The 12,287-nt window shown below is 44.9% G+C and overlaps 1 pseudogene; it reads left to right on the top strand.

Annotated features, from left to right (window-relative positions):
- On the top strand, positions 3,676 to 3,773 carry LOC124904131 (uncharacterized; annotated as a pseudogene).

Genomic DNA, 12,287 nt, shown 5'->3' with positions numbered 1-12,287 from the left:
GAAACCCCATCTCTACTAAAAATACAAAAAAATTAGCCAAGCGTGGTGGCGGGCGCCTGTAGTCCCAGCTACTCAGGAGGCTGAGGCAGGAGAATAGCTTGAACCCGGAAGGCGGAGGTTTCAGTGAGGTGAAGTTGTGCCATTGCACTCCAGCATGGGCGACAGAGCAAATCTCGGTCTAAAAAAAAAAAATCAAGTGTGAGAGAAAATAAGTAAACCAACACATAATTTCAGATGATAATAAGTGCAATGAAGGAAATGAAACAGACTAATGTGAAGGAGTGAGAAGCAGAGGTGGGAAGGGAGGCGTTCAGAGCCTCAGAGGAGGTGAAAGGATCTGTCTGGGGAACAGAGTTTTGTGCAGAGGAAACTGTTCCTGAAGAGGCCCTGTGGTTAGGAAAAGCTTGGCTTGTTGGAGGAGGGAAAGGCAAGAGTGCAGTGAGGGAGGGATTTGGGGGAGAGATGCCAAGGGGAAGTTATGGATTTGGGCTTTGGGGGAATAACATAACAGATTTGGGGTTTTCGGTCTGGAGATGCTAAGTTTGAGATGGCCATTAGACATCCAAGTGGAGAACCCACGTCTGGGCATAGAGCTCAGGACTGCAGGTGTGCATCTTTGAGTCACAAGCACACAGGTACATCTATACCACAGGCTGGTGGAGATCACTAGGCAGAGAATATCCTATAAGTAGAGAAGAGAAGAGGCACAAGCTGTGCCCTAAGGTCCTCTGATATTTGGAAGTCATGCAAAGGAGTGGAAGCAGCAAAGTTCAGTCAATGAGGTAGGAGGAGAACGATGCCGGCAGACACTTTGTCCTCTTGTGCCTGTCACAGTGTTTCATGAAAGCCAACTGAAGTGAGAGTGACTTATCATGTATATTCCATATATACCATGGAATACTATACAGCCATGAAAAAGAATGAGATCATGGTCAGGCATGGTGTCTCACACCTGTAATCTCAGAACTTTGGGAGGCTGAGGCAGGCAGATCACGAGGTCAGGAGTTCGAGACCAGCCTGACCAACATGGTGAAACCCCATCTCTACTAAAAATACAAAAATTAGCTGGGTGTGGTGGTGACTGCCTGTAATTCCGGCTACTCAGGAGGCTGAGGCAGGAGAATCATTTGAACCCGGGAGGCAGAGGTTGCAATTCCAGCTACTCAGGAGGCTGAGGCAGGAGAATCACTTGAACCCGGGAGGCGGAGGTTGCAGTGAGCCAAGATCGTGCCACTGCACTCCAGCCCTGGTGATAGAGCGAGACTTCGTCTCAAAAAAAAAAAAAAAAAGAATGAGATCATGTCCTTTGTGGGAACATGGATAGAGCTGGAGGCCATTATCCTTAGCAAACTAACACAGGAACAGAAAACCAATATTGCACGCTCCAGTTCTTACTTTCAATTCTTTAGGATATATACCTAGTAGTAGAATTGCTGGATCATATGGTAACAGTATGTTTAATTTTTTTTTTTTTTTTTTGAGACCGAGTCTCGCTCTGTTGCCCAGGCTGGAGTGCAGTGGCGCAATCTGTGCTCACTGCAACCTCCGCCTCCTGGGTTTAAGCGATTCTCCTGCCTCAGCCTGCTAAGTAGCTGGGATTACAGGCGCCTGCCACCATGCCCAGCTAATTTTTGTATTTTTAATAGAGATGGGGTTTCACCACATTGACCAGGCTGATCTTGAACTCCTGACCTCAGGCGATCCACCCACCTCGGCCTCCCAAAGTGCTGGGATTACAGACGTGAGCCACTGTGCCCAGCCTGTATATTTAATTTTTTGAGGAACCGCCATACTATTTTCCACAATGGACGCAACATTTTACATTCCCACCAGCAATGCAGGAGGAGGGTTCCAGTTTGTCCACCAATGCTTGTTATTTTCTGTTTATTTGATAATAGCCATTTTAATGGGCCTGAACTGGTATCTCATTGTGGTTTTGATCTGCATTTCCCTAATAATCGGTAATGTTAAGCATCTTTCCATTTGCTTGTTGGCCATTTATGTATCACCTTTGGAGCAATGTCTGTTAATGTCCTTTGCCCAAACCATCCGTTCTTAATTCTTATCCATTGCTAGGTTGAATTTTAGATTTATCATGTGAGTCGTATGCAAGACCCACACGTTTTCAAATACGTCAAATGTTTTTATTTATAGATCACTCTTTTTTTTCCTAAAGTAGTATCTATAGTACATTTCTTTATTCATATATCTTCACATGGTCAAGTTTTCTTTCATACATCCAAAATGTAGTGTGATGTTTTCTTATTCACCAAATGTTAGCTCTACTTGTAGTCTGGTTCCAAACTAATCAGCCTGCTTTTAAATTTTAAGACATTTGTTGAAAAAAAAATTTTTTTTCTTTTTTCTTTTTTTTGAGATGGAGTCTCGCTCTGTCGCCCAGGCTGGAGTGCAGTGGCGCAATCTTGGCTCACTGCAAGCTCCGCCTCCCGGGTTCACGCCGTTCTCCTGCCTCAGCCTCCTGAGTAGCTGGGACTACAGGCTCCCACCACCACGCCTGGCTAATTTTTTGTACTTTTAGTAGAGACAGGGTTTCACCGTGTTAGCCAGGATGGTCTCCATCTCTGACCTTGTGATCCGCCTGCCTTGGCCTCCCAAGACATTTGTTGAAAGTTTATAGGATCAAACCAAACTCAAGTGGTATCATTTTTAAACATTGGATTGTACATTATTGTAAAGGTACCAGTAACCATTATTATTAAGAATAAGTTAGTGATTATAGCTCCTTTTGTAATAATTAGATCACTCTCATAATACAAATCAATATTGCAAGTATCCATGTGCCAAAATCTAGTGAGTCTAGGAAAAAGTGAAAATGCTTTATTGTCTCTTCATCCTAAAATACATCCTTGGATACTTAGAAATTTCAGTGAATCTATTTTAAAGGAAACTTTGTGTCACTATTGTAAATCGAAAATTCGTTTCATTTCCCATAATAGAAGGTAAGAATAAAGGAGAATGCAATGAAAACCAAACAGTGTAATTCAATTCCAGGTAGATTCTTTTGCCTGTGGCCAGCTCCCTGTTCCAGGAGATTATCTAACGCTAAAGGGGTGCTAAAAACATATCAATACCAAATTGACACTTTCTCCCTGAAAAGGGGAATTGATTTGCCGTTTTATCTCAATTAAACCTGTGATCTTGCACCTCCAAGGACTTGTCCTGGAGTAGCGTTGCTCAACGTGTGGCAAGCAGATGGCTGGCATCAGATGTCTTTGAATGCTTATTAAAAATGTCAGTTCCGGGTTGGATGTGACTCCTGCCTATAATCCCAGCACTTTGGGAGGCAGAGGTGGGTGGATCACTTGAGGTCAGGGGTTTGAGACCAGCCTGGCCAACATGGCAAAACACCATCTTTACTAAAAATACAAAAATTAGCTGGGCCTGTTGGTGGGTGCCCATGGTCCCAGCTACTCAGGAGACTGAGGCAGGAGAATCGCTTGAACCCAGGACGCAGAGATTCCAGTGAGCCGAGATCATGCCACTGCACTCCAGCCTGGGCAGCAGAATGAGCAGTGTGAGACTCTGTCTCAAAAGAAAAAAAAAATGCCAGTTCCCCATCCCTGCCTCACACCAAGGAGGCAGACTCCCCAGAAGATTAGCCAGGGAATCTACATTTTACAGTAGGGTGATTCTTCTTTAGAACCACTGCCCTTGATCCTTTTGTACTTGGTAAGCATGATGATTGGGTTTTTATGCTTATATATGAGACATGCTTGTCTCAAATCTTGTTACAGCACATTACCCTTCCTACTTAAAAGGTTAAAAAAAAAAAGAACCATCGCCCTTGATCATGTAAATATTTTATTACATTCTGTCCTACAGCTCATGATGATCTCAGACAGGTTGAACAGGAGTTGTCACCCAACCCCTCAAGATATAGATGAAGAAATCTGAGCCCTGACTGGGAAAGGGGTTTACTTGAGATTTTAAAATGTCCATTAAGTCATGTGCACCCCATCTTTGAGCCCCTGAATGATTTGGCTCCTGCTTGCCTTCTTTTTTTTTTGAGATGGAGTCTTGCTCCGTTGCCCAGGCTGGAGTGCAATGGCACCAACTCGGCTCACTGCAACCTCTGCCTCCTGGGTTCAAGCCATTCTCCTGCCTCAGCCTCCTGAGTAGCTGGGATTACAGGTGCCCATCACCACGCTCGGCTAATTTTTTTGTATTTTTAGTAGAGATGAGGTTTTGCCACATTGGCCAGGCTGGTCTCAAACTCCTGACCTCAGGTGGTCCACCTGCCTCAGCCTCCTAAAGTGCTGGGATTACAGGCGTGAGCCACTGCACCGGGCCTTTGTTTCCCTCCCTCCCTCCCTCCCTTCCTTCCTCTTTCCTGTCTTCTCTTTTACTTTCTTTTAAATTCGAATATTCTCATCAAAGCTGTAGATGCATATGATTTAAAGAGTCAAATAGTTCTACAAATCTCTCACCAACAACTGCTTCCTGCTCCACTTCTGTCCTTTCCCTCTCATGAAAGACAATAACTTTCACTACTTTCTTTGATAATCTAAACCACTGCATCTCAAAATAGCATGCATGATTGTTTATTTAATGATTTTTCAGCTTTAGGCAAATATTGGCTTCCCCCTGTGGAAGATAGGATTTTTTTTTTTTTTTTTTGAGACGGAGTTTCGCTCTTGTTACCCAGGCTGGAGTGCAATGGCATGATCTTGGCTCACCGCAACCTCCGCCTCCTAGGTTCAAGTGATTTTCCAGCCTCAGCCTCCTGAGTAGCTGGGATAACAGGCATGCGCCACCACGCCCGGCTAATTTTTGTATTTTTAGTAGAGACAGGGTTTCACCATGTTGGTCAGGCTGGTCTCGAACTCCTGACCTTGTGATCTGCCCGCCTCGGCCTCCCAAAGTGCTGGGATTACAGGCGTGAGCCACCGTGCCTGGCCTGGAAGATAGGATTTCATTTTCTTTCCTAGTCTTGCTCCCATTTGCAAACGTTTCTCACCCCCATCCTTCTAGTACAGTTTTATTAGGACCGAGCAAACGACACTCAGTGTTTACGTGATTTTTGTTATGGATATGCTATTCATAGGGGACATTTATAGTATACTGTAATTATTTTTTTCTTCCATACAAAACCTTTTGTTGTTTCTCTATATAATAATGATTATATTATTGGTCTGGTTTTCTATATATTTTTCATTAGTTTAATCCGAAACTTCACCACTTGTTCAGATTGCCTCTCTATCAGTTCAGACACATCCATTTCCCAGTCGGTTCCACTGTGTGAAGGAGTCTCTCCAGTGTGTCCTGTTGGCTTCTTTCCTGGTCCTCCTGAGCTCTTGCTTCACCACCATCCTTTGTCTTCCTTTTACCTCTCTGCTGTGCTGGAGATTTGTTTCCCGGATCTCATGTTTTGTTATTTCCTGGCTTATTTCTTGGGCTAAGCAAGAAAGGGTATGTGGGAGGGAGGAGAAGTTTTTAAGACTTTGCATGTCTGGAAATGCCTATAATCTATCTATACACTTAAATAGTAGCTCTGAAATCAATTTTTTTTTTTTTTTGGTTCGGAATTTTGAAAGCACTGCTCCAATGGTAGCAGTGTTGCTATAAAGAAGCCTAGAGCTATTTGCATTCCTGATTATTTTCATATGACATGACATTTTCTCCAGAAGCTTTTAGGAGCCTCTCCCTGGCCCAGCTTCCATAATTTCACAATGATGTGCCAAGGTGTAGTCAATTTTTATTAATTGTGCAGTGCTCTCAGTAGGTCCTTTCAGTCTTGAAATTCATGACCCTCAGTGTTGGGAAGATGTCTTGAATTATTTCATCGATTATTTCCTTCTCTTTATTTTTTCAGTGTCTCTTTTTTGAACTTATACTTTAGATGTTGGGTCTCCCAAACTGGCTCTCCAGTTCCCATTCTCGATTTCATTTATTCTCCATTTTATTTTATTTCCAATTTCCCATCATTTTGCCTTTTGTTCTGTTTTCTAGTAGATTTTCTCAACTTTCTCCTCTAGTCCTATTGAGCTATTATTCCTCCTATCATATTTTTTTCACTGGTGGGGTCTTGCTATGTTGCCCATGCTGGCCTTGAACTGCTAGACTCAAGTGACCTTCCTACCTCACCCTCCTGAGTAGCTGGGAATATAGACATGGGCCACCATGTCCAGCCTGTGTATATTTGTTTTATTAGTAATCTGTTTGTGTTTCATGCTTGCGATATTTGACCTTGTTTCTCTGAGGATATTAGTGATAAGGTATTTTGGATTTTTGTTTGTTTCTTTTTTTGTTTTTGTTTTAAGATGGAATCTCTCTCTGTCACCCAGGCTGGAGTGCAGTGGCACGATTTTGGCTCACTGCAACCTCTGCCTCCTGGGTTCAAGCGATTATCTTGCCTCAGCCTCCTGAGTAGCTAGGACTACAGGCATTCGGCACCATGCCCAGATAATTTTCATATTCTTAGTAGAGACGGCGTTCGCAATGTTGGCCAGGCTGGTCTTGAACTCCTGACTTCAGGTGATCCAACTGCCTCGGCCTCCCAAAGTACTGGGATTATAGGCGTGAGTCGCTGCGCCCGGCCTGTTTGTTTCTGATATTTGTGGTATGTGGGTATTATCTATTGCTGCAGAATAAACTACTATAAACCATAGTAGCTTAAAACACCAAGAACCATGTATTTGCAGATGATTTTGCAATTTGGGCAGGAGTCCATGCAGTGTCAGCTGGAGTCCTTCATGCAACTACATTCGCCTGGGAGATAGGCTGGCACTGGAATATCCAAGAATGGTTCCACTCACATGTCCAGCATGGCTGGGGGCCGGCGGGGTCTTTCTCCACGTGGTTGCTCATCATTCAATAATCCTTCCTGAGCTTCACTACATGGTGCACGGATCCCAGAGGCCTCTTGCAGCCCAGACCAGAAGCTGGCGCAGTGTCACTTTTGATGCATTGCATGGGTCAAGGCAAGTCACAGACCAGCCCAGAGTCCATGTGGGAGGGGAAATGGACTCAACCTCTTGATAGAAGGAGGAGGAAAGAATCAGTGTACATGTTTAATCTACCACACCATTTTTTGTTTTTTGTTTTTGAGACAGGGTCTCCTTTGTCACCCAGGCTGGAGTGCAGTGGCATAATCACAGCTCACTGCAGCCTCAATCTTCCAGGCTCAAGCGATCCTCCCACCTCAGCCTTTGGAGTAGCTGGGACCACAGGTACATGCCACCATGCCTAGCTAATTTTTAAATTTTTTTTGTAGAGACCAGGTCTCCCTACATTGCCCAGGCTGGTTTCAAACTCCTAGGCTAAAGCAATCCTCTTGCCTCAGCTTCCCAAAGTGCTAGGATTACAGGTGTGAGCCACTGCACCTGGCCCACAACACCATTAAAAAAAAAAAATTATTGGCTGGGCACAGTGGCTCACGCCTGTAATCTCAGCACTTTGGGAGGCTGAGGCCGGTGGATCACCTGAGGTCAGGAGTTCAAGACCAGCCTGACTAACATGGAGAAACCCCGTCTCTACTAAAAATACAAAAAATTAGCCGGGCGTGGTGGCACATGCCTGTAATCCCAGCTGCTTGGGAGGCTGAGGCAGGAGAATCACTTGAACCTGGGAGGCGGAGGTTGTGCTGAGCCGAGATCATGTCATTGCATTCCAGCCAGGGCAACAAGAGTAAAACCTCGTCTCAAAAAAAAAAAAAAAAAAAAAAGTTCTTTTACTGCCATTTGAATGGGGTTTTGGAGGGAGAAAAAGTCCATGTTTGTGTTAAATCTTCCACTTTTATCCATAATAACTTAGAAGATCAACCTGTTGCCCTTCTCCACCTCTAATTCCCTACCAGTTGCATCCATAGCCCCATTCTAGCACCTTTTACTGTTTTCTACGTACTTCTGCTGAAGCAGGGAGTACCTTGGAAGAGGTAAAACTGAAGTCTTCTTAGCTGAATTTTGTGGAGAATCCTAAGATAGGGCTAAGCAGAATGAGATAGGCCTTTGATAAAATGTTTGAATTCATTTTAATTTTGTTTTGCATCATCTTATTTGTTTTTTCAAACTTGTAACTTTACAAGTTATAAAAAGAAATTGTGGCCAGGCATGGTGGCTCACACCTGTAATCCCAGCACTTTGTGGGGGTGAAGGCGGGAGGATTATTTGAGGCCAGGAGTTTGAGACCAGCCTCGGCAATATAAAAAGCAATGCCTAGGTCCCTCCCCAGATTCCGGATATTGGACCCAGGTATTAACCTTTTTTTTTTTTTTTTTTTTTTTTTTTGAGACGGAGTCTTGCTCTGTTGCCCAGGCTGGAGTGCAGTGGTGTGATCTCAGCTCACTGCAAGCTCTGCCTCCTGGGTTCACGCCATTCTCCTGCCTCAGCCTCCCGAGTAGCTGGGACTACAGGTGCCCGCCACCACGCCCGGCTAATTTTTTTGTATTTTTAGTAGAGACGGAGTTTCACCATGTTAGCCAGGATGGTCTCGATCTCCTGACCTCATGATCTGCCCGCCTCGGCCTCCCAAAGTGCTGGGATTACAGGCGTGAGCCACCGGTATTAAGCATTTTTTAAAGCTTTCTGGATATTCCAGTATGCAGCCACCATTGAGAACTGCTGCCCGTGAAGCGTGTTTATGTCTTCTTGGGAACGAGGGAGGAAAGTTGATGCAGGAGGGAGAAGAGCCCATTTCAGAAGTGAAAACCCAAGAAAGTGAAGGTGGCAGCCCCAGAGCCCAAGTAGGGATGCTGGCAACAAGTAAGGCTGAAGTTCAAGCAACAGAAAATTCCAACTGAAGCTGACTTTCCCAATGCAGTTGGTTATCAGCATCTACAGTAGCAAAGGTAGGGTGTGTGACAGACACAATGAATTACCCGCCCTAATGTCGTTCTCCCTTCTGCCTTCATCAAACCAAAATTTGCTTCAGGGCAGGAATGTGGCCAGCCCCAGTGCTGAATCATGTTTGGTCTAAGTTGAGGGTGATAATGCTGTTCTCTGCCTCCCCAGCCTTGTGGTTACAGCATGGCTGCCCCAGAGATGACCAAGGCCCTGACGTCTTTTGGCCTCTTCTTTCTGCCTTCTGTAGTGTTGACTTCAATCTTGGGCTCTACCCAGGGCTGCTGTTCTGGAATTAGTTCCAGAACTCACGTCCTCGTGCCACAACAACCAGGAGAAGAGAGGGAGTTTTTTTCTGCTAGCACCTGAGGAGGAGGGTTGACGCTTCTCTTTTCCAAAACTCTGGCAGGTGGCTGCCCCCCAGGTCATTTTTCATTGATCACTGTGATCCCTGAACCGACCAGTGTGGCCAGAAGCAGGGAATATACGGAATGGTTTAAGCCAACAATGGTGTATCCCTGGAATTGGGGATGGAGTCAGTCTCATTCAGATCACATGGCTGAGAATAGGAATGGGTAGTTTCATAAAGGAAATCTGTGGGGTTGGTACCAGGAAGATGGGGAACAAAGGCTGGGCAGCAAACCACTCTCACAGCAGAGCAGGAACACATCTTCCATCATAATAGGCAGGAGGCTGGGCAGATGGGTACAGTCACAGAAGGGTCTGTGGGCTGGAGGGCAGGGATGGTGTGAGAGCTCCTTCCTGGTCATTTTACTCTGTCAGTAAGACATGGATGAGGTCTTGCATCAGCTAGGAGGGGTCTGGAAACTTCTGAGTCAGGTCTTGTGCAGGGTGCTGGGGATGAAAGGATAAACAGGACAACATCCTTGCTCTCCAGTAGCTACTGATTTGATGGGAAAAACCCACAGCCCAAGGGAATATAATGGAAGGTATGTGATGGCAGCACCCAGTCCCCTTATTCAGGTAGCAACATCCCCATTTTCCTGTAAAGAATAATTCCTTCCCCATTCTCAGCCCACATGATTACAGTAGAGCTCGCTTCACTCTCTGGCTCCAGGGGTGGGCACATGATTCAGTTTGGGCAAAATTAGGCAGGACTTGGAAATTATCTGGGGATGGTGGCACACGCCTGTACTCCCAGCTACTTGGGAGGCTGAGGCAGGAGGATAGCTTGAGCCCAGGAACTGAGGTTACAGAGTGATTGATGATCCTGCCACTGTACTCCAACCTGGGCAACAGAGCAAGACCCTGTCTTTAAAAACAAACAAACAACAAAAAATCAGCCCTGGGATTTTTTGTTTGTTTGTTTGTTTTAGTTGCTGAGATTATAGTATGTAAGCAAGCCTTGAAATGGTTGCTGGCTATTTCTGTGACCATTTCAGGAGAGCCCACCTGAGAATGAAGACAACACAGACAAAAGCACAGCTGAATGGCATGTAGAGATACAGTGCGGGAGCTCCTGGATGCACCGATACCTGAAGCAAGACCTATTCTTGGTCTCTTTTTTTGGTTACCTGAAGCAAACGTTTCCTTTACAAAAAAATTGAAACCCTTTAGATCAGAAGAATCCTGATGAATACGGAGGTCTCTCAACCCTGTGTATTTGATTCCTGAACTGAGAGCATCACATGTCTCTGTCTTATCTGTTCTGCTCCTCCTCACATCTTTCGTGTCCTGCATCCCTGTCACTCATCCCACCAAAGGGGTCCCTTAGATAATCATGTCATGTATTCATTCAACAAGTATGTCTTATGCGTGTCTACAGGGGTGGCAATGAGCTGGGTGTTGTATGTGTGACAAGGTCAGTGAATATACATGGTGAGCACTCAGCCCCTTCCCAATCCGTGCCCATGGCAGACATTGTTAATCAACCCATGAATTCTTTTTAAGCCTGAAAATGGCCTCAGAATCTTTGTCATCATAGCATTCTAGAGAGGCACAACCAACTGGTTGAAATTGACATAGAAGATGAAACCTAGCGTCATCCTCCTTCTCCTGGATGGCTGCCCCTCCTCTCTGGCTCTGCCCAGTGAGTGCCCACTCTCCTACCTGCTCATGAGAGGAGTGGCAGAGGAGCATGCTGGATCTTCATTCCCTTTGGAAAAGATTGAGAATTTGGCTGCTGCTAGTAAATTGGGAGGATTCTGCTCTGCTCTCCATGAATGTCACTGTCCCTGGCAATAAAGTGTGCATTAGTAGAGTCTGTGGGATTGTTGCACCTGGTTTGGGCATGTCCTTTGATAAAGGATTCCTTTATTATAGGGTCCTCAAAGGCAGCCTCTTTAAACATACCTGGTGGGGACTGGGCCAGTTGTAGAGATGTGTGTTCCAGTCACTCATGTGTAGCTAGTTAGTGCCATGATGGAGGCTGGGGGCTGACAGCTTTGCTGGAAACAAAAGAAAATAAACTTCTCCCATACAATGGAGAACCATACTTTCATTTGGAGCTTTAATATCTCATAGAAAAGACTGTGGCTTTAAAACCATATATCAAAAGGAAAAACACTTTCATCTTGACCTCTTCAACTTATAAAAATGGATCCCTTTCTTAATCATCTAGAATTATATGTATGAATATAAACTGTAAAATTATAAATACCTGAAGATACTTGTACAAAAAGAATAAACTTTCCTTTAATTTAAAAAAAAAAAAAGGGCCAGGTGCAGTGGCTCATGTCTATACTCCCAGGACTTTGGGAGGCAAGAGGCTCACTTGAGCCCAGAGTTTGAGATTAGCTTGGGAAACATAGTGAGACCCTGTCTCTATAAAAATAACAATTAAAAAAAGTAGCCAGTTGTGGTGGTGCACACTTGCAGTTCTAGCTACTCAGGAGGCTGAGGTGGGAGGATCACTTGAGCCCAGGAGGTTAAGGCTGCAGTGAGCAATGATGGCGCCACTGCACTCTCTCCTGGGAGACAGAGTGAGACCCTGTCTCGAAGGAAAGAAGAAACCCCTAGTGTCATCTTCAAGGTAAAATATGGCCCAGGGCAATAGTGGATCCATAACAGAAGGAAGACAGGACTGAAATACTCTAGAGGTTGGGGAGATTGGGGTAATTAGGACTCTTAAATTTGTAAGGAACAGAGATAGTAGAGAGAACTTGAGCAAAGAGGAGAATTTATTGTAAGGACAAAATGCTAGGGATCCAGCAGGGCCTCAGGGATAGCCAAAGGCAGAGACTAGAGCGTTCGTTGTAAGAACTTAGAAAATTCTCTCCATCTCTCTCTTCTCTGCATGTTTGTTTTGTCCTCTCTCGCTTTTCCAGTTCTTTCTGTTTCCAGTTCCCAAGGCAGAGAATGAGTGCCACAACAGCTTGTGTTTATGGATTCTCTAAGAGGTAGACAGACGGTTTTGGAGTGTCTTTGCATCAGCTCCACGTTCCCCAGCAAAGGGCTCTCACTGACCCAGTTTGGGACAGGAACCCACCCGTGGTCCAATTTCCCGTGTCCACTGGGGAGGGTTTATAC

The sequence above is a fragment of the Homo sapiens genome, chromosome 17 (genome assembly GCF_000001405.40).
Source record: "Homo sapiens chromosome 17, GRCh38.p14 Primary Assembly".
NCBI lineage: Eukaryota > Metazoa > Chordata > Mammalia > Primates > Hominidae > Homo > Homo sapiens.
This window is presented reverse-complemented; position numbering and strand designations above follow the sequence as displayed.